At 52.8% G+C, this 17,037-nt stretch overlaps 1 protein-coding gene across 24 annotated transcripts in view, besides 12 other annotated features; it reads right to left on the reverse strand.

The window, feature by feature from the left end:
• PXN (paxillin) overlaps nucleotides 1-17,037 on the reverse strand; it is a 55,284-nt gene that overhangs the window by 16,710 nt on the left and 21,537 nt on the right. Inside the window, exon 1 of one of the 24 annotated variants that reach the window (XM_047429250.1) lies at nucleotides 1,169-1,238. The exons of the other annotated variants lie outside the window; for them this stretch is intronic. The gene's annotated coding sequence lies outside the window, so the exon portion shown is untranslated. Of the gene's footprint in view, nucleotides 1-1,168; nucleotides 1,239-17,037 lie in introns of those variants that run through there. 24 annotated transcript variants of the gene reach the window in all.
• Nucleotides 1,138-1,227: an enhancer, noted in NCBI's record as "active region_7136". NCBI's record gives its function as "activates an Ori minimal core promoter by ATAC-STARR-seq in GM12878 lymphoblastoid cells {active_cell/tissue: GM12878}" and the evidence as "EXISTENCE:reporter gene assay evidence [ECO:0000049][PMID:35858748]".
• Nucleotides 1,338-1,447: a silencer, noted in NCBI's record as "silent region_4944". NCBI's record gives its function as "represses an Ori minimal core promoter by ATAC-STARR-seq in GM12878 lymphoblastoid cells {active_cell/tissue: GM12878}" and the evidence as "EXISTENCE:reporter gene assay evidence [ECO:0000049][PMID:35858748]".
• Nucleotides 2,296-2,855: an enhancer, noted in NCBI's record as "NANOG-H3K27ac-H3K4me1 hESC enhancer chr12:120667255-120667814 (GRCh37/hg19 assembly coordinates)". NCBI's record gives its function as "activates a minimal SCP1, AML or CMV promoter by ChIP-STARR-seq in naive H9 embryonic stem cells {active_cell/tissue: H9 hESC(naive)}" and the evidence as "EXISTENCE:reporter gene assay evidence [ECO:0000049][PMID:30033119]".
• Nucleotides 2,296-3,415: a biological region, named in NCBI's record as "hESC enhancers GRCh37_chr12:120667255-120667814 and GRCh37_chr12:120667815-120668374".
• Nucleotides 2,690-2,984: a silencer, noted in NCBI's record as "tiled region #8677; K562 Repressive non-DNase unmatched - State 1:Tss". NCBI's record gives its function as "represses a minimal TATA promoter and a strong SV40 promoter by Sharpr-MPRA in K562 cells {active_cell/tissue: K562}" and the evidence as "EXISTENCE:reporter gene assay evidence [ECO:0000049][PMID:27701403]".
• Nucleotides 2,856-3,415: an enhancer, noted in NCBI's record as "OCT4-NANOG-H3K27ac-H3K4me1 hESC enhancer chr12:120667815-120668374 (GRCh37/hg19 assembly coordinates)". NCBI's record gives its function as "activates a minimal SCP1, AML or CMV promoter by ChIP-STARR-seq in naive H9 embryonic stem cells {active_cell/tissue: H9 hESC(naive)}" and the evidence as "EXISTENCE:reporter gene assay evidence [ECO:0000049][PMID:30033119]".
• Nucleotides 3,857-5,056: an enhancer, noted in NCBI's record as "P300/CBP strongly-dependent group 1 enhancer chr12:120668816-120670015 (GRCh37/hg19 assembly coordinates)". NCBI's record gives its function as "activates an origin of replication core promoter dependent on BRD2, BRD4, P300/CBP, MED14 and CDK7 cofactors, with strong dependence on P300/CBP, by STARR-seq in HCT116 cells {active_cell/tissue: HCT116}" and the evidence as "EXISTENCE:reporter gene assay evidence [ECO:0000049][PMID:35650434]".
• Nucleotides 3,857-5,095: a biological region, named in NCBI's record as "P300/CBP strongly-dependent group 1 enhancer GRCh37_chr12:120668816-120670015".
• Nucleotides 4,536-5,095: an enhancer, noted in NCBI's record as "NANOG-H3K27ac-H3K4me1 hESC enhancer chr12:120669495-120670054 (GRCh37/hg19 assembly coordinates)". NCBI's record gives its function as "activates a minimal SCP1, AML or CMV promoter by ChIP-STARR-seq in primed H9 embryonic stem cells {active_cell/tissue: H9 hESC(primed)}" and the evidence as "EXISTENCE:reporter gene assay evidence [ECO:0000049][PMID:30033119]".
• Nucleotides 5,096-5,655: an enhancer, noted in NCBI's record as "NANOG-H3K27ac-H3K4me1 hESC enhancer chr12:120670055-120670614 (GRCh37/hg19 assembly coordinates)". NCBI's record gives its function as "activates a minimal SCP1, AML or CMV promoter by ChIP-STARR-seq in primed H9 embryonic stem cells {active_cell/tissue: H9 hESC(primed)}" and the evidence as "EXISTENCE:reporter gene assay evidence [ECO:0000049][PMID:30033119]".
• Nucleotides 6,776-7,335: an enhancer, noted in NCBI's record as "H3K27ac-H3K4me1 hESC enhancer chr12:120671735-120672294 (GRCh37/hg19 assembly coordinates)". NCBI's record gives its function as "activates a minimal SCP1, AML or CMV promoter by ChIP-STARR-seq in primed H9 embryonic stem cells {active_cell/tissue: H9 hESC(primed)}" and the evidence as "EXISTENCE:reporter gene assay evidence [ECO:0000049][PMID:30033119]".
• Nucleotides 11,465-12,095: an enhancer, noted in NCBI's record as "H3K4me1 hESC enhancer chr12:120676424-120677054 (GRCh37/hg19 assembly coordinates)". NCBI's record gives its function as "activates a minimal SCP1, AML or CMV promoter by ChIP-STARR-seq in primed H9 embryonic stem cells {active_cell/tissue: H9 hESC(primed)}" and the evidence as "EXISTENCE:reporter gene assay evidence [ECO:0000049][PMID:30033119]".

Genomic DNA, 17,037 nt, shown 5'->3' on the forward strand with positions numbered 1-17,037 from the left:
TGTAGCATGTCCCAGCCTGGGCAAAACAGTGAGAGCCTGTCTCTACAAAAAATTTAAAAATTAGCTGGGTGTGGTGGCGCATGCCTATAGTCCCAGCTATTCAGGAGGCTGAGGTGGGAGGATCACTTGAGAACAGGAGTTGGAGATCGGCTTGGGCAACACAGTGAAACCCCATCTCTACAAAAAATTTAAAAATTAGCTGGGTGTGGTGATATGCGCCTGTAGTCCCAATTACTCAGGAGGCTGAGGCAGGAGGATTGCTTGAGCCCAGGAGGTCAAGACTACAGTGAGCTACAATTGCACCACTGCACTCTAGCCGGGGTGACAGAGCAAGACCCTGTCTTAAAAACAAACGAACAAATCATAGAGTGCAGATGTCAGGGAGAAGGCACATCATTATTCAGTTTTCTCCAAAGTTTTGTCTATTTGAGGGACAGAGAAAAACCCCAGCAAGTCCATCCACCAGCCACAGGGTCTCTGGTATGGCTTCCTCCTCTCTCTCCACCCTTCATTCTCACCTAGTGATTTGGACAGGCAAGGACTAGGCAAGAGGGGTAGGGGTTGGTGCCTCCAAACCCCCCACAAACTCCTCAAGAAAGAAAACCAGAAATACAGGAGGCAAGCCAACAGTAGACTCCTAGCTTTACTTTGATTTCCAATGGGTGCAAATACCTGAGACTTCCCCATAGGCTGCAAAATGGTTAAGGGTCAGAGTCCCCTTGCAAGCTCAGCAAACGTCCCCCCTGGCTTGAGCAAACAGAGCTGGCAGACACTGCACACAGGAAGGAGTCCACTTGAAGGCAGAGCCCCATCCCAGCGGGGTCCCCCAGTGTCCGGCTCCAGCCTTTCCCTCTGCTCTAAATATTCCTGCTCCTCATACCCCAAAGAAGGTGTCAGGCTATCCACTCTTCAGAGAAAATGGTACCCACTGAAACCATTCAAGACCAGGAATACACCCTCCCTTCCCACATGCTGGGAGGACAGATTCCAGACACGCTGCTCGGAAGTAGTCGGGAGACCTCATTCAAGCTAAGAAAGGCCTCAAATTTCCTTGGCATTACTCTACTAAGTTTCCAGGTCCAGGCCTGGGGCCCTCCAGACCCAAGTCACCCTGAAGGAGGAAGCTCTCTCTCTGGGGCTTCCCAACCACTTTCTGGAGGAAACCCACCCTGAATTCTGCAGGTTTTCTGTCTCTCTGGGCCAGCGGAAGTATGCAACATGAGGAGGTAGGCCAGGCTGTCTCGAGGCTGAGGGCAGGCTAGGTGCAAAGTCCCCAGCGAGCCATGGGCAAAGGCCACGGAGCTATGTCCTGGCTCCGCCCTGGTGAGGAAGGGGTGCAGACTGTCTGCTGCTCCCCACCAGAGGGCACCATTGGCCCGTCAGCTTCTTGCCACTGGGTAACCTCGTGCAATCTTGCAATTTTCTAGCCGGGGAAGACTGGGGAGCCCCTGGCCATGGGCGCAGTGGGGAAGTTTCTATCCTTAGAGAACAAGGCTGAGCTGGAGGAACACAGCAAGCTAGTGGGAGGAACACAGGTAGCCTGGTATCACTTGAAGGCACAACCCAAGGGTGACATGCAGGGCTCTGGAGAACCAGAGGGGTGCACGCCCTCGCTTCCAGGGCCCTGTGCAAATGCAGCACCGTGTGCGCCCCTATCTGCACCCCATGGCTGCACCTGGTCGGAGCAACAGCATGGAACAGCTGCAGCTTTGGGTCGGGAGGCCGCCCTGGGGCAGGTGGCTGGGCAGAAACAGTGCACTACGGCCAGGCTGAGAGGAAGAAGCCCTTCCCTGGGCCTCAGCAACTGACTGAGCGTAATCCTTACAACCGGTGGGAGCCGCTGGAGGGTTAAGGTACAGACACCCTCAGCCCACTGCTCCGAGGAGGAGGGGACCGGTTCGCCTGCATTCCAGGGCAAGTGCTGCAGCTGCATCCCTCACATTCCTGTACCCACCTAGGGGCTCCGGGTGGAAGGAAACCTGGGTCCCCTTGTACCTACAATGGGGGGATGTCCCCCAGACTGTGGCTCTGGGGACCCCGGTTGATCCACTGACGCATGGCACTCAATATCAGATTAAAGAGAATCAATTAAAACCTTCCGCCCCCACCCCCGACTGCAGCACAGAAACAAGCCAGGCTGCTTCCTCCTACCTAAGCCCCTGCCACTTCTTAGTGTGTGATAAAGACTATCAAGACCAGAGGCCTGGAGCTGGACAGGTGCCAAGAGAGAGGAGATAAAAGTCCATCTCTCTGAGGGGGTGGGAGGACCCAGAGCGATTCCATTCTCTCCTCCCAGGCTCTGAGGACTTTCAGTGTTACAACTTGTACGGTGAATCCTCAGTCACCTGGGCTCTGCTCAATGGCTGAACTGCTCGGATAGGCTGCTTAACTGCTTTTGTGCCTCAGTTTCCTTGTCTGCCCAATAGGAATTCCACCATTTTACTCACAGGATTGGGACTACATGAGAAAAAGATATAAAGTGCTGACTTAGCACAGTGCCTGGAATACAGCACACAGGAAATGGGAGTTGCTAAATAGATTACAAGCTTCTTCCCAGGGAGGTGTTAAGCCCTAGGAGGGGAAAGAAATCACCTCCCCGTCCTATCCAATCCCTGAGGGCAAAGGGTGCTGCCCTCTAGTCCCAGATCAGCAGGAAGCAGGTAAATGTGGGGCATGGAGCCAGCTTTTCCATCCCTTCTTGGAGTTTACAGGCTGCCCTGCCACACCAGCCCCAGCGCCAGGGCCCCGTGGTCCCTGCCCACCTTTGCCATTCTGGACTCCTCCACCAGCAGCCCCAGGCAGAACTAGAAGAGGTATAGTCCTGTGGCCCTCAGGCAGCGCCCCACCTTAGCACGCCTTGCATTCTCGAGGCCTGGCCCAGGAGAGGCCCACGTAAGAACAAGGTATTTTCCAGCCCCTTCACCCACCTTCTTCTGCAGGCCAATTTCACTCAGCTTTCATTGCCCCAGGCAGGGAGCGGCCAGTGCAGCTTCCTTAGGAGCTGACAAGCCAAAGGAAGGAGCAGCAAGCACCGCCCTGAAAGCTCCAGCACCAGCAGCAACGGGCTGCCATAGCACAGGGGCCTTCCCCGCAGCCCTGGGCCAGCTGTCCATCCCTGCCATCTGATAGGAAACCCAGACTCCCAGAGAAACAAGTCCCTGTCCTAGGGGGTCTGGGGATGCCCAGCCTCATGGCCTGTCTATCCTGTTGGGTCCAGAACTCTGGACAAGGGAGGTTCCCAACCCCCTGATGACCACCTGGGCAGCCTTGGTAGCTCTGAGTGTCAGAGAAGCTGCGGCCTCCTTACAGTTGCCCACGCTCAGGGATATAAGCAGTGAGCAGGGCTTGGCCCTTCCTAAGGAAGGAGCTATGTAAACAGCAGGACCAGCTCAGGGATGGTCTCATCTCAGCCCCTTTGGTGAGACTCTTCCAGATTAGGAAGGAAAACAGAACGGGAAGGCGGGTCTCCCCCCTCCCCCTGGCTCCAAGTTCCCCTCCCCTCCCCCAGCCCAGAGCACATGAGCAGTTAGAGCAGAGGTAATCTAATCCGCAGCGGGGTGCTTTCACTCGGTGAGTAAGTCCCCAGGAATGGTGAGCTGGGTATATTTATCCTGATAACCGTCTGTCCTCAGTAAGGGCCAATCCACAATTAGGCCAGATCCACTCTGCCCCACCCACCCCCAGCCCAGGGACCTAGGGCCTGGACACTGACTAGGAACTCAGTCTCCTTGAGGGGCCTTCCCTGCCAATTTGGGTTCTTGTCAACTGTCTCCTCTCCAAGAATTAAGCTCCAGAGAGCAGGGGCCTTGTCGGTCTTGTTCGATGCCATATCCCCAGCAGCTAGAATGAATGGCTGAATGACAGAGGGGCTGTGAAGAGGAGGAGGATGGGGAAGCAGCAGTGAGCAGAGCAAACAGCCAGTGCGGAGGAGGGGAGCCAGGATGCCCTGATCCCAGGCCCAGCGGATGAGTGGGGGCCCCTCAGCGGATCCTCTAACCTCTCTGGATGTCTTCTCTATCAAGAAAATGGGCAGAACCCGATTTGTCCCCATTCCTAGTAGCATGCTCTGAGGAGATAATACAATTATGGGTGAGATTTATATAGCACCTTTGAGCTCTTCCGAGTTAGTCTAAATCCAAGATTCTGCTATTATCTGAATCCCAGACAGGAACTGCTCTGCTAAGAGGATGGATGAGAAACGATCAATACCATAGTGTCATTTAAATATTTAATAGCCATGCCTGGAGGTTACAAAGACTCAGCCACCAATTCTCCTCCGCTGACTCATGCCTCACTCAACAGGAACTGCATTTTACCCTTACAGCCCTGAAGGAAGTGTGGGCTGGGGGGTGACACACAGGAAGCCAGGGGAGAAGGCCCAGGAGTCTTCCAGTCAGCCGCCAGGGGAGGAGGGGGTGGTCATTTGGATGAAGTGGTTCTTCCCCAGGCTTCCTACAGGCCTAGCTTAGGAGGGTGGCTTCCTGTATGCTGAGGAGCTCTTCCTTGCAGAGGGTGACACAATATGAGTGTGCAGACAGACTGGCTTTATTGGCTGCCTGGCTTGTGCCCAAGGTCACAGGGCACAGGTAACCAGAGACCTGAGAAAATAATGGCTGCAAGGCAACTCCAGCAGTCACCCTGAGCTCCAGGCAGAAGACCAACTGTGCCAGGCCCATCTGCACCAGGCACACACAAGGCCCACCCATCAGGCTCCTGGCTGCAGCCACTTCCCCATCAAATTGGGCTCCAGGAGCTTAAGCAACAGCAGGTGAGACAAGGCTGCCCAGGTTGACTCTGAGCACTTCTATGCATCTGCCTTAGGCTACAGACACAGGAGTTCAGGCCAGGCTGGCCAAACACCAGAGTCTTTCTCTTCTTTTTTTCTTTTTTTGAGACAAGTCTTGTTCTGCCACTCAGGCTAGAGGCCTGATCACAGCTCATTGCAGCCTAGAATTCTTGGGCTCAAGGGATCTTCCTGCCTCAGCCTCCCGAGTAGCTAGGACTAAAAGCACATGCCACCACACTAGGCTTTTAAAAACTTTTTTGTAGAGACAGGGTCTCACTATGTTGCCCAAGCTGGTCTTGAACTCCTGGCCTCAAGCCATCTTCCTGCCTGGGCCTTCCCAAAGTGCTGAGATTACAGACAGGAGCCACCATGCCCATCCCCAGAGTCTCTTTCATATTGTAAATAACTCATCTCTCCTGTCCAGAATCAGTGGGCCCTCCCTCCTCCAGAGGTCCCAGAACATTGTGGACACATTTCATTGGTCAGATGTCATCCACCTCTTTAGGTCGCCCAGAGATGCTAGACCTTTTCAGGTCAAGTCCAGGGCCCCATTCCAGGCCCAACTCACAGCTCCTTCAATGGGTAAAACCCAGATTCACATACAAAAAAGACAGCCTCAAACCCAGGAGACTCATGGGCTGGAAAGGTTCTCAGCTGTTCCAAATCGACCCCAGCCCATTCCTGCAATCTGGGCTCTTCCAGGCAAGTTGATCTGTTGCAGAGCAGGGCGGCTCCTTGGGCCTCTCACCCCTGCTAATCACCAACAGAGGTTAGGAGGGGCTCAAAGTGAGTCATCGTCCCACAGAGACCCGAACAAAAAGTTCAAAAGTTTGCCTGTTCCTGAGATGAGCTGCAGTTTTTTTGCGATTTTTGTGGATTTCATAGCATTAGTTACCCACTCTTTGCTAATCAGGTTCTCACTAACCAGCCAGCACCTTCCCCTTTTTTCAGGCAGCAAGGTCATTTCCCGAAGTCAGCTCTCGCTTGCCTGACTTCCCCAGTTCTCTTTTCTAAGTCCCTTTAATAGCTCCCACATTTAGCTGGTCACTAAGTCACATCAATTCTTCCTTCGCGGGGCCTCTCCCTGTCATCACTTGCCTCCCTTTCCTTTCATCACCACAGCCAACCACTTGGACTAGCATTCGAATCCATGCTCAGTGCCTACCTGAACTTGACTGCAGCCCCCTGCCCTGGGTTCTCCCAATCTAACGCTTCCTGCACACACCATCGGCCCGAACTTCTTGGCACCCAGCCTTTTTGGGGCATGCCTCACACTTCACTCTTGCTTCTCCCCCTAGACTGCAGGTCCTCTGTGGGCAAGAACATCCTCCTGCTCCTGAATCCCCACAGCATGGATACCCTCATAGGCCTCCTTTTTTTTTGAAATGGAGTCTTGCTCTGTCAACCAGGCTGGAGTGCAGTGGCATGATCTCAGCTCACTGCAGCCTCCACCTCCCGGGTTCAAATGATCCTCCTGCCTCAGTCTCCCAAGTAGCTGGAACTACAGGTACACACCACACCTGGCTAATTTTTGTATTTTCTTAGTAGAGTCGAAGTTTCACATTGTTGGACAGGCTTGTCTCGAACTCCTGACTTCAAGTGATCCACCCACCTCGGCATTCCAAAGTGCTGGGATTACAAGCATAAGCCACTGTGCCCGGCCCTCACAGGCCTCTTAGAGGGGCTTGAATGAATGTGTGCAGAGCAAGGGGTGGAGTTATAATACTCACCCACTGTTGCCCTCTCTGCCTATAAAACAAGGTCAGAAACCCTGGGGATGGCATTCTGTTCTTGACCCTCTCAGAATATGGCCCCAAACTAACCTTCACTGCCTCCTTGGTCCCCCTCACTGCAACCCATGTCTCCAGCCAAACTGGACTCCCCGCTTCCCTTTTTGCCAGCGTGCCTTTCTTCACAATACTGAATGTGTCCCACCACTACCTCTATCATCATTCACCTGGTTTGAGCCTCTCGCACAAGGATATCCATACCCCCAGGGGACAGATGGAAGCCAGGGGTACAGGAAGCCACCTCAGGATAAACCCAGAACACTCTGAGGATCAAATGTACTCAGGGGCAAGAAATGTAAATCATTGTCTTAAAACAAACAAGGCTACATTATGGAGTCAAATGCAAAATGCAAGTGAAATCGTAAGATAAAAAGAGAGGCTTCAAGGCCTGCATGGTGGCTTATGCTTGTAATCCCAGCACTTTGGGAGGCCGAGACAGGGAGATTGCTTGAGGCCAGGAGTTCGAAACCATGTTGGCCTGGCCAACATGGTGAAACCTCATCTCTACTCTACTAAAAATACAAAATTTAGTTGAGCATGGTGGTGCATGCCTGTAATCCCAGCCTCTTGGGAGGCTGAGGCAGGAGAATGGCTTAAACCCAGGAGGCAGAAGTTGCAGTGAACAGAGATTGCGCCACTGCACTCCAGCCTGGGCGACAGAGTAAGACTCTGTCTCAAAAAAACAAAACAAAAAAAACAGATAAGATTTTGCTCTTGGGGACTTTGGCAAACAATTTTAAGCAGCACCACAAAGCCCCCACTGTCCACACATAAAACCACCCCTGCCCATATCACAGATTTGGCTGGTCTGCTGTCGTTGGGAGCTAGGATGGTCACACAGTTCTTTGGACACCCTCTGGGCATCCCACCTGCATGGCAGTGTGGTAGAGTGGAAGGAATGGGCCATCTAACAGTGAGGAGGATGGGTTCAAATCCGCCACTCACTAGCCTGGGTGACCAGTGACTAGATAATTCTGGGCTTTAGTTTACTCAGGCACCTCATAGCGCACAGTGAGTAATGGATGAAAAAGAATGTGAGAGCCATCCTGGTGGCTGGGATAAAATAAACGTAAGCCTCCCACTCTGACACACAGGAGACACTCAGTCAATAGATCCACATCACTGATTTTCATCTCCCTTAAGGCCAGCAGGGGGAGGAGTCGGAGCCAGGGACTGCAGCCAGGGATCCTGGGAGCTGTGACAGGTTGTCACTAACTCAGCCTTCTTGCTGAGCAAACCACTGACCTCACCCTTTGTGTCTCGGGTTCATTCCAAGTCCTCCTTGGAGAACATCAGCTGAGCCCAGGCGCCTCCAACTCACTGCCTAGCAAGGACAGAGGCAAGCGAGGGAAGCTGCAGGGCCCCAACGCCTCCACCCCCACCCCATCCCTACTGCCTGCCGGGAAGTCACAGCTGTCTGAGAGGCCTGTGGCTTTGAACCCAGAATCGCAACAATAGAAGGAACTGCCCAAGCTCCATGGTAGCTCCCAGAGGAACCCAGGAGAGAGCAGCCTCTGCTCCTGCCACGGAAGCTCTGAGCCCAGCAGAGTGCCAAAAAGGGATCCAAAGACGGGGCTGCGAGGCTAGAAAGCAGCTCAGGAGGGGGTGAGGAGTGGAACAACCCTTCCTGAGCATCTACCAGGAGCCCAGCCTTGCAGCCCCATTTGTTGCCAGGGATTAGAATGCAGACACCCAGAGCCGCCCCATAAGGCCCCACGAGGACTGCGCTGCCTGACTGCAGAGATCACCCATGTTCTTCCCAGGATGCCCCACAAGGAGAGGAATGATCGCTTTCAGCAGCTGTCCGTCCTCTGCTCGTCACCACTCTCCACTCCCACAACACACATCCCCAGAGCCCCCAGAGGAATCCAAAAAGGCGGGCCTGCTGGGTTCCGCTCTACTGCTGCCCACTCCAAGTCTCCTGTTCTCTTTTCTTTCTGCCTCCTCCTCACCCTCTGCCTCAGGAGGGGTCTTGAGCCACAGAGGAGCCCCTAGTGGTGGTACAGAGAGCTCAAGAATTCTGAGAAGGCTGGTGCACTCCATGTTCTGGTCTAACTTGTTGATGTGCAAGGTCGACGCGCACAAGTGTTTTCCCCCTGTGCTACGCTGCTTGTGGTCCCATCTGAACCTCAGGGTGCAAGATGGGCCTGCCCCGGGAACCAACCTCTGACCTCGCAGAGATGACATCAGAATCATTAAGAGACACACAGGCAGACAAGGGACTCCACTGTAGGCACCAAACCAGCCAACACGGGACAGCCAGCAAGACAGCCAGCCTAGATTTTCCAACCCACAGTCAGCATAGCTGTTCCCTTCAATGGACAGCCACATGTCTCACCCAAGCACTTTTCCCACTGAGCAAAAAAGTAGGCAGTTCCATGTCTTGCCCTCTGTACTGCTGTTTTTAACTACTCTGTGTCTGGGCACAAGAGGGCTGCAGAGGGCACAACACGCTGGGGAAACACAAGCCTGAGCATAGAGCTGTCCTCAGCCACTGGCTCTCGACCCTGACGTGCAATCTGCCATGAGGTGTGTCACCAGTCCTTGGCTAATCATCATAAGGTATGGACATCTGCAACTGATTTTTTTCTTTTTTTGAGACAGGGTCTTGCTCTGTTACCCAGGCTGGAGGGTGGAATACAGTGGCATGATCACAGCTCACTGCAATCTCCACCTCCTGGGATCCCACCTCAGCCTCATGAATAGCTGGAACTATAGGTGTGTGCCACCATGCCCAGATGATCTTTTTTTTTTTTTTTTTTTGAGACGGAGTCTCACTCTGTCGCCCAGGCTGGCGTACAGTGGCGCCATCTCAGCTCACTGCAACCTCTGCCTCCCGGGTTCAAGCAATTCCCTGCCTCAGCCTCCCGAGTAGCTAGGATTACAGGTGCCTGCCACCACACCCAGCTAATTTTTGTATTTTTAGTAGAGACAAGGTTTCACCATCTTGGCCAGGCTGGTCTTGAACTCCTGACCTCGTGATCCACCCACCTTGGCCTCCCAAAGTGCTGGCATTACAGGTGTGAGCCACTGTGCCTGGCCCCAGCTGATCTTTTAATTTTATTTATGTATTTATTTATTTATTTATTTGAGACAAGGTCTCACTCTGTCACCCAGGCTGGAGTGCAGTGGTGTGATCATAGCTCACTGCAACCTCAAACTTCTGGGCTCAAGTGATCTTCCCACCTCAGCCTCCCAAGTCATGAGGGCTACAGTGCATGCCACCACACTTGGCTAAGTTTTCTATTTTTTGTAGACAGGGTCTTAGGATGTTGCCAGGGCTAGCCTGGAACTCCTGGGCTCAAGCGATCCTCCTGCCTCAGTCTCTCACAGTGCTAGGATTACGGGCATGAGCCACTGCACCTGGTCATTGCTTGCTTGCTTATGTATGTACGTGTGTGTGTGTGTGTGTGTATACACACACACACACACACACACACACACACACAGAATCTCACTTCTATTGCCCAGGCTGGGGTACAGTGGCATGATCACGGTTCACTGCAACCTCTGCCTCTTGGGGTCAAGCAATTCTTGTGCCTCAGCCTCCCAAGTAGCTGGAATTACAAGCATGTGCCAACACGCCCTGCTAATTTTTATATTTTTAGTAGAGATAGGGTTTCACCATGTTGGCCAGGCTGGTCTCGAACTCCTGCTGGCCATTGCTTTTATTTTGGAGAAAATAAACTGAAGTGGGTTCAAGATGACTCCATGACCATCAGCCCCACCCGCATGTGTTCCAGTGCATTTACTTGAGTGAAAGAAAGAGCTAGGAGTGCAAAGAATGCCAGACACACCCTTGGTGTCATCTGAAGGCTATGTCCTGGCAGCGCACCATTTGAAACCACTATCATAGATGGTCACGAGTGCTGAGAAGAAGTGGGGGAGGGGAGTCAGGCTAGCTGCCCCCAGAGTGCTCCCCGAGCTGACCCTCAGTGACCCTTTTGCCTCCCTAGAAGTGTCTACCTCATCCAGCCCTGGGTCTTCTTGGGCACACAAATTTTGGAAGCCATCTGCTGATTTCAGGGCTCTAGGAAATGCTGAGGCCCCTTGACAGCTGGCGTCCCCACAGAGAGTTGGCACCTCCTGAATAAGGAGTGGTCTCAGGAGGGCCCATCCCATGCACAGAAGCTCCAAGTCTCGTCTCAGTCCCCCCACCCCACTGAGCTTTGTAGGCTCCCCAGGCACAATCATAGGCAGCAGGCCTGACCCAACCCAGGGCGCTGGTGGGATGGCATCACTGAGCTACAAAGGAGGAATGCCCCGGCCACTGTCCTGAAGAGGGCAAGGCCAATTTCTCCGGAGGCCCGGAGCCTTGCCAACTCTCCGCATGGGGAAATCTGCCTCTTCCTGGACAGGGAGGAAGCAGATGGAGCTGCAGAGTCACGCTGGGAAACCACAATAGAAAAAAAGGAGAGAAGATATTTTCCTGAAACAAAAAGCACCCAGGGAGACCTCTGGGCTTTCAGTCTGGCTAGTGGAGTTCACGTGTAGGTATATCAAGGTGCAGGGGAGAGGGATAGGGTGGGAACAGAACTCAAATGAGACCACGTCGTAGTTAGCCTGCAAGAAGCCCACTAACTCCAAAGCTGAGGAAGCAGGCCAAGCAGATGCCAAGCCTCATGGGTAAACTGAACGGAGGTGCCTGTGCCCGGGGGTTCATGCAGCAGAGAGGGTTCCAGGGCTCCAACCAGGCTTGGCTGGCCTGGCCTCCCTCCACCATGCCCAGCTGGCTATGCCAGGGATTGATGGGGGAGGGGGTACACACCTCGCCCCTGGTTTGGATTTTATTGCAGGAGACACTCTGGGGCTCCGCAAATCCAGCCCAGCAGAGCCAGAGGGCAACAGCAGTACGTGGCCGCAATGCCCAGAAACACCACACAGAAAGTCCCCATGTACACACGTGGAGCATTCCAGAAGGTTGTTTGGAAGTTGGATTTTGAGCTGTGGAGAATGTCTTCTAATAGAAACAATACTCTGAGGGGAAACTGGGTGACTGTTCAGGTAGACTATTTACATCACTAGCTCCAGTGGATGCTAGGTTCTGCAGTGTCTGCAGAGATTGCTGTCTTGCCATGAGGTGCTAGGGTGAACCCCATCATTCCTCCTTCAGGCAGTACCTGCTCTGTGCCTAGCTATGTATGGGGGGCACAGCTGTCCTTGGACGCTCCTAAGCTAAACTTCCCAAGGACAAGAAATCCCGTGCTTCTGCCCCCTAACTACTGTACTGCAACACAGGGAGCTTCGTGGTCAGCTAGGGAACTTCTGACGGGAACCAAACTGTCGGGTGGGGCTGCTCCTTCTCCTCCTGCCCATCTTTATGTTCAGACAGGAAATGGTCACCAAAAAAGCCAGGGAGCTGAGCAAGCACCTGTCCCACTACTGCCCTTCCTGGTGCCACTGGTTTCTCCTTTTTAAAGGGTGGAAGTTTCTGCTGGGTGTGGTGGATCACGCCTGTAATCCCAGCACTTTGGGAGCCCGAGGCCAACGGATCACCTGAGGTCAAGAGTTCCAAACCAGCCTGGCCAATGTGGTGAGACCCTGTCTCCACTAAAAATACAAAAATTTAGGCCAGGCGGGGTGGCTCACGCCTATAATCCCAGCACTTTGGGAGGCTGAGGCAGGTGGATCACAGGTCAGGAGTTCGAGACCAGCCTGGCCAGCATGGTGAAACCCCGTCTCTACTGAAAATACAAAAAATTAGCCAGGCATGGTGGCGCATGCCTGTAGTCCCAGCTACTCGGGAGGCTGAGGCAGGAGAATCGCTTGAACCCAGGAGGCGGAGGTTGCAGTGAGCCAGTATCGTGCCACTGCACTCCAACCTGGGCAACAGAGTGAGACTCCGTCTCAAAAACAAAAACAAAATTAGCCAGGCGTGGTGGTGCATGCCTGTAATCCCAGCTACTCAGGAGGCTGAGTGAGGCAACGGAATTGCTTGAACCTGGGAGGCGGAGGTTGCAGTGACCTGAGATCACACCACTGCACTCCAGCCTGGGTGACAGAGCGAGACTCTGTCTCAGATAAATAAATAAATAATAAATTAAATTAAATAAAAAATCTGAGCTAATCTGAATAAATTGAGAGATTTCACATGAAAGCCAGGATTTCTGGCTTCCCAGGAACAGTCAGAAGAGCTAGCTAGCAACACTGGTCTGCTTGGCTACCTTCTTTGGAACAACATGAAATCTAGCTCCCTTTTTTTTTTTTTTTTGGCCCACTTCATCCATTCACATGACCTGCCTGGCCTCTGCAGGTAAGTGAGTATGCAACAAAAATGTAGCACAGGTTTTGTCGCTGAACTACGTGGTTTCAGGTCCAGCTCTGCCACTTGCTAGCATGACACCTCTTTGAGCTCAGTTCCCTCATCTATAGAATAGGTATAATAACTGCCCCTTATATAATGGGGACTGTGGGGTTCCCAAGCCTCACTCAAGCCATTTAGAGGAACAAATAAGATAACAATCATAAAGCAGTCCTGGTACATCACAAGCACACAGCCATGCATATCATTAGTGCCTATCTCACCAGGTGACAGGTGACAGATGGGGGATGAGGAGCTGTCCCACCCACAAAGCTGACATCCCTGATTGCCCCACCAGAGCAAGTGCATGCCCAGCACTGCAAGCCATAAGCAACTGCAGAGAAGGTGCTCTGACAGGTGTCAGTTAGGTAGTCTGACTCTCCCACAGTGGCTCCAGAGTCACCTGTTAAGACACTGGGACCAGACCATCAGACTGTAAACAAGATCTGGGCTAAAAAGCTGAGAGGCTTTGCAGGACCCAACCAAAACAGCAATCTCTCTCCCTGGCTTTGAAGCCATTCCCAAGTTCAAAGGGTCACCAAGCAGATGCATCTGGAGGCCCCTGCATTCGTGGTGTGGGAAGCTCAGTGCACAAGCCAACAGGAAGAAGGGCACTGCTGATCCTCCCAGGAGTCCAGTCCAAAAGCTGGCATCGCAGCCCCACAGTGCTCCCAATGACGCAAGTGCCAAGAAAGGAGTCCAGGGATGGCCCTTCTGAAGTCTCTGCCTCCTAACTCTGCCAGAGCATTCGCCATTGGAACATCGACACTAACCCACCCAGGACTGACTCCAGAGGCCCTGAGTGTCAGGCATAACAGTGCCCACCCACTCAGGGTGGCCTGCACCTGGCCCCACAATCCACCCTCTTCCTGCTGGCTCAGTTCAGCTCCCTAACCCTGGAGCAAAAGTATTCCACATTCTCTTTTTTTCCCTTTCAAAGGGAAAGGGAGGAAGAGAGCCCCCCAAGGGAGCTAAACTTTATATCAGAAGTCTTAATCTGGCATCTGGAGCTGACCCTCCTGGGGATCTGTGGACCACCTGAAGTTTCACTACCATGTCCCTACCACACTACTCTGGGGAGAGATCCCAATAGTCATGGCCCAAAGGGGTTGGGAATCTGAATGAAACCACTGCCATGGGCAGGCCTGACAGTGCACCACCCTGCCCCTGTCAGATCACAGCTTGGTCCTTTGAAGACAAGTCTGATCACTAGGGGCTGAAGCTGAAGCTGCCTCATCTTCACCTCAATCCCAGGTGATCAGAATTTCTGGAATGGGACCTGCCTGGACACTGACCCAGGCAGCAAACTCCAGTGAAGCCACCCCAGTTCAGGAGGCACAAAACAGATGTGGCCTCGCTTGGGTATCCAAGGCAGAGCCACCTGCACCTGTCTCACGTGCCTCCTCCAAGACCCTCCCTCCGATGCTCTCACTGGGACAGCCTCACCTTTACTAGTGATGGCTCCAATCGCGTTCACAAACACATAGTGTGCACGGGCACTATGCTGGGCATGGGAGGGGCAAATATACAATGCCTGTCTCCGGGGAGCACTGACTAGTGGGAGACTGTCATAAACGAGGGGCAGAAGGCCCTGAAAGCGGCAGTGGGCCAGGAGGAAAGGGGAGGGGCTTTCCAGGCAGAGGTGGAAAACAGCCTGGGAAAGTGCCCAGACAGAGGGGATGGGAGCTCAGAGTGCAAGTCCCAGCTTGATGGAAGAGGAGTCAAGGGCCGAGGGCCCACTGGGGAGTCTGGACTTACAAGGGCAAGCCACAGAAGGAAGGCGGTCAGCAGCGGAACAGCAGGACCAGGCTTGCACTTTACATCACTCAGGCAGGGGAGATCAGAGGGAGGCAGGGCTCAATTGGAGGAAGAGCAAGAGTTGCAATACTCTACATGAAATCAGGTAAAATCAATGTTACCTGGAAACTGAGTGGATATGGAGAAGGAGTGAGGAGTGCAGGATGCCTCCCATGTTTGTTTCCTGCAGGAGGGATGGAACAGATGAGACAGGGAAGAAGGTCTGCGGCAGGGGTCAGGTAATGACGGTAACAAGGATCAGGAGTTACACCAAGAACAGGCAGAGCCACAGTGTTCCCTGAGCCAGGGCCCAAGGACGTTTTTCTCTGGCCAAGGCACCTATCTAAGTAACAGTTTGTTAAATTATATGGTACCCTTCTCCTGAACACAAGTTGTTCTCCCTGTCTGGCTTTGGGAGAACCTCAGGAAGTTGCATGCAGCCTGCTCTGGGAATTCTCAGAGTGTTCAGGAAGACCATGGGCTCCCTTCCTCTGCCCGCACCCATCTGCACGAGTCTGCCTCTGAAATTCAAATAGAAAGCCAGCCCCATCTCTGACAGCCGTCCTCCAGGAAAAAGAGGGGTCAGCCTAAGCAGGTTATCAGAGGAACCAGATCCTTCCTGCCACATGAGCATGCGGCTCACCACTGGGGCCAGAGGGCCCAGGACACAATCTCAGGCCTCAAACCCTCATGGAAATGCCCTTCAGAACTGACCCACGGCCCCAGCCCCAGCTGACCACAGAGAGACTTTGCACAGATAAAGCTCATCTCATGGCCAAGTGTGGTGGCTCATGCCTGTAATCCCAGCACTTTGCGAGGCAGAGGCGGGCAGATCACTTGAGGTCAGGAGTCCGAGTCCAGCCTGGCCAACATGGAGAAACCCTGTCTCTACTAAAAATACAAAAATTGGTGTGGTGGTACACGCCTGTAATCCCAGCTATTCAGGAGGCTGAGGCAGGAGAATTGCTTGAACCTGGGAGGCAGAGGTTGCAGTGAGCCAAGATTATGCCACTGCACTCCAGCCTGAGCGACAGAGCGAGACTCGGGCTTTAAAAAAAAAAAAAAAAGCTCATCTCACTGTAGGATAACAGATGCCCCAAAGGCCAGCCCCATCTCAGCTATCGTAGCAAGGTCATCCCCAAAAGGTCATTCCAATGAAGATGCAAAGCCTAATGACTGTCCTTGGCCTTGTGGCTCAGGATAAGTTTGATTAGCTTGAAAGATCCAACTGGACACAGGGCACCAAATCACTACCAATGAACTAAACACACATGCTTGCACACACGTCCGCCCTCCAGGCCTCTGCATGAGCTATTCCCTCTCCCTAGACCTCTCTCCTGTCTTCTTTACCAGGCTAAATCCTTTCTAATCCCTTGAGACTCATAATAGCTTAGTTTATCTTCTTCAACGAGAGGATAAAAAGGATCCATCCTGCCTACCTAGAGAAAAAGCAACGTGTTGCTTTTCTGCTGGGAAGGTCTCTTTCCAAAATCTTATTACAGAATGACCATTTAAGTAAAGGACAAAGGTTGGGGCCTTTTCTAAATGTTGAGGTTCTATTTAAACACACAACAAAAGGCCGGGCATGGTGGCTCATGCCTGTAATCCAAGCATTTTGGGAGGCCAAGGCGGGACGATTGCTTGAGGGCAGAAATTTGAGACCAGACTGGGCAACACAGCAAGACCCTGTCTCTACAAAAAATTTTTAAAAATTCGCCAGGTGCTATAGCACATGCCTGTAATCCCAGTTACTTAGGAAGCTGAGGCTGGAAGATGGATTGAACCCAGGTGTTTGAAGCTGCAAGTGAGCTATGATGGCATCACTGCACTCCAGCCTGGGCAACAGAGAAATCCTATCTCTTAAAACACACACAAAACAGAGTCAGTTTAGGATCCCATTTCCTCCAGGAAGCCCTCCCTGACCTTACTCTCCTACAAAGGGTTTGAGGCTCCATTCCTTTGAGTTCCCAAAGCACTGTGCACTTCTCCTATGAGAACACCTCAAGCTGGTAGGAACTGTCTGCCTAAGGGGCCATGTCTCACAGCCTAGGAATAGCACATTGTGGGTAGGGAGTACGCCTATATTCATCTTCATCTGAGCATTGGGCAGAGCCTAGCATATAATAGGGGCTCCATGGATGATACCAAACAAATCAACAAATGACCTGCGCCAAGTCAGTCTGCTGCTGAGATCAGCCTTGCCACTTCAGCTCATGCCACCTCCTGGTCCTCCCTAAGAGCTCACTGTATGCAAAGCCCGGTGAGGGAGAGCAACACAGGAGCACAGGGCCCAAGTTGTTCCTACTCTTCTATCCCAGAATGTCCCATCTACTGTGATCTAGTTGCCACCACCCCTCCCCAAC

Source organism: Homo sapiens, chromosome 12 (genome assembly GCF_000001405.40).
Source record: "Homo sapiens chromosome 12, GRCh38.p14 Primary Assembly".
Lineage (NCBI taxonomy): Eukaryota > Metazoa > Chordata > Mammalia > Primates > Hominidae > Homo > Homo sapiens.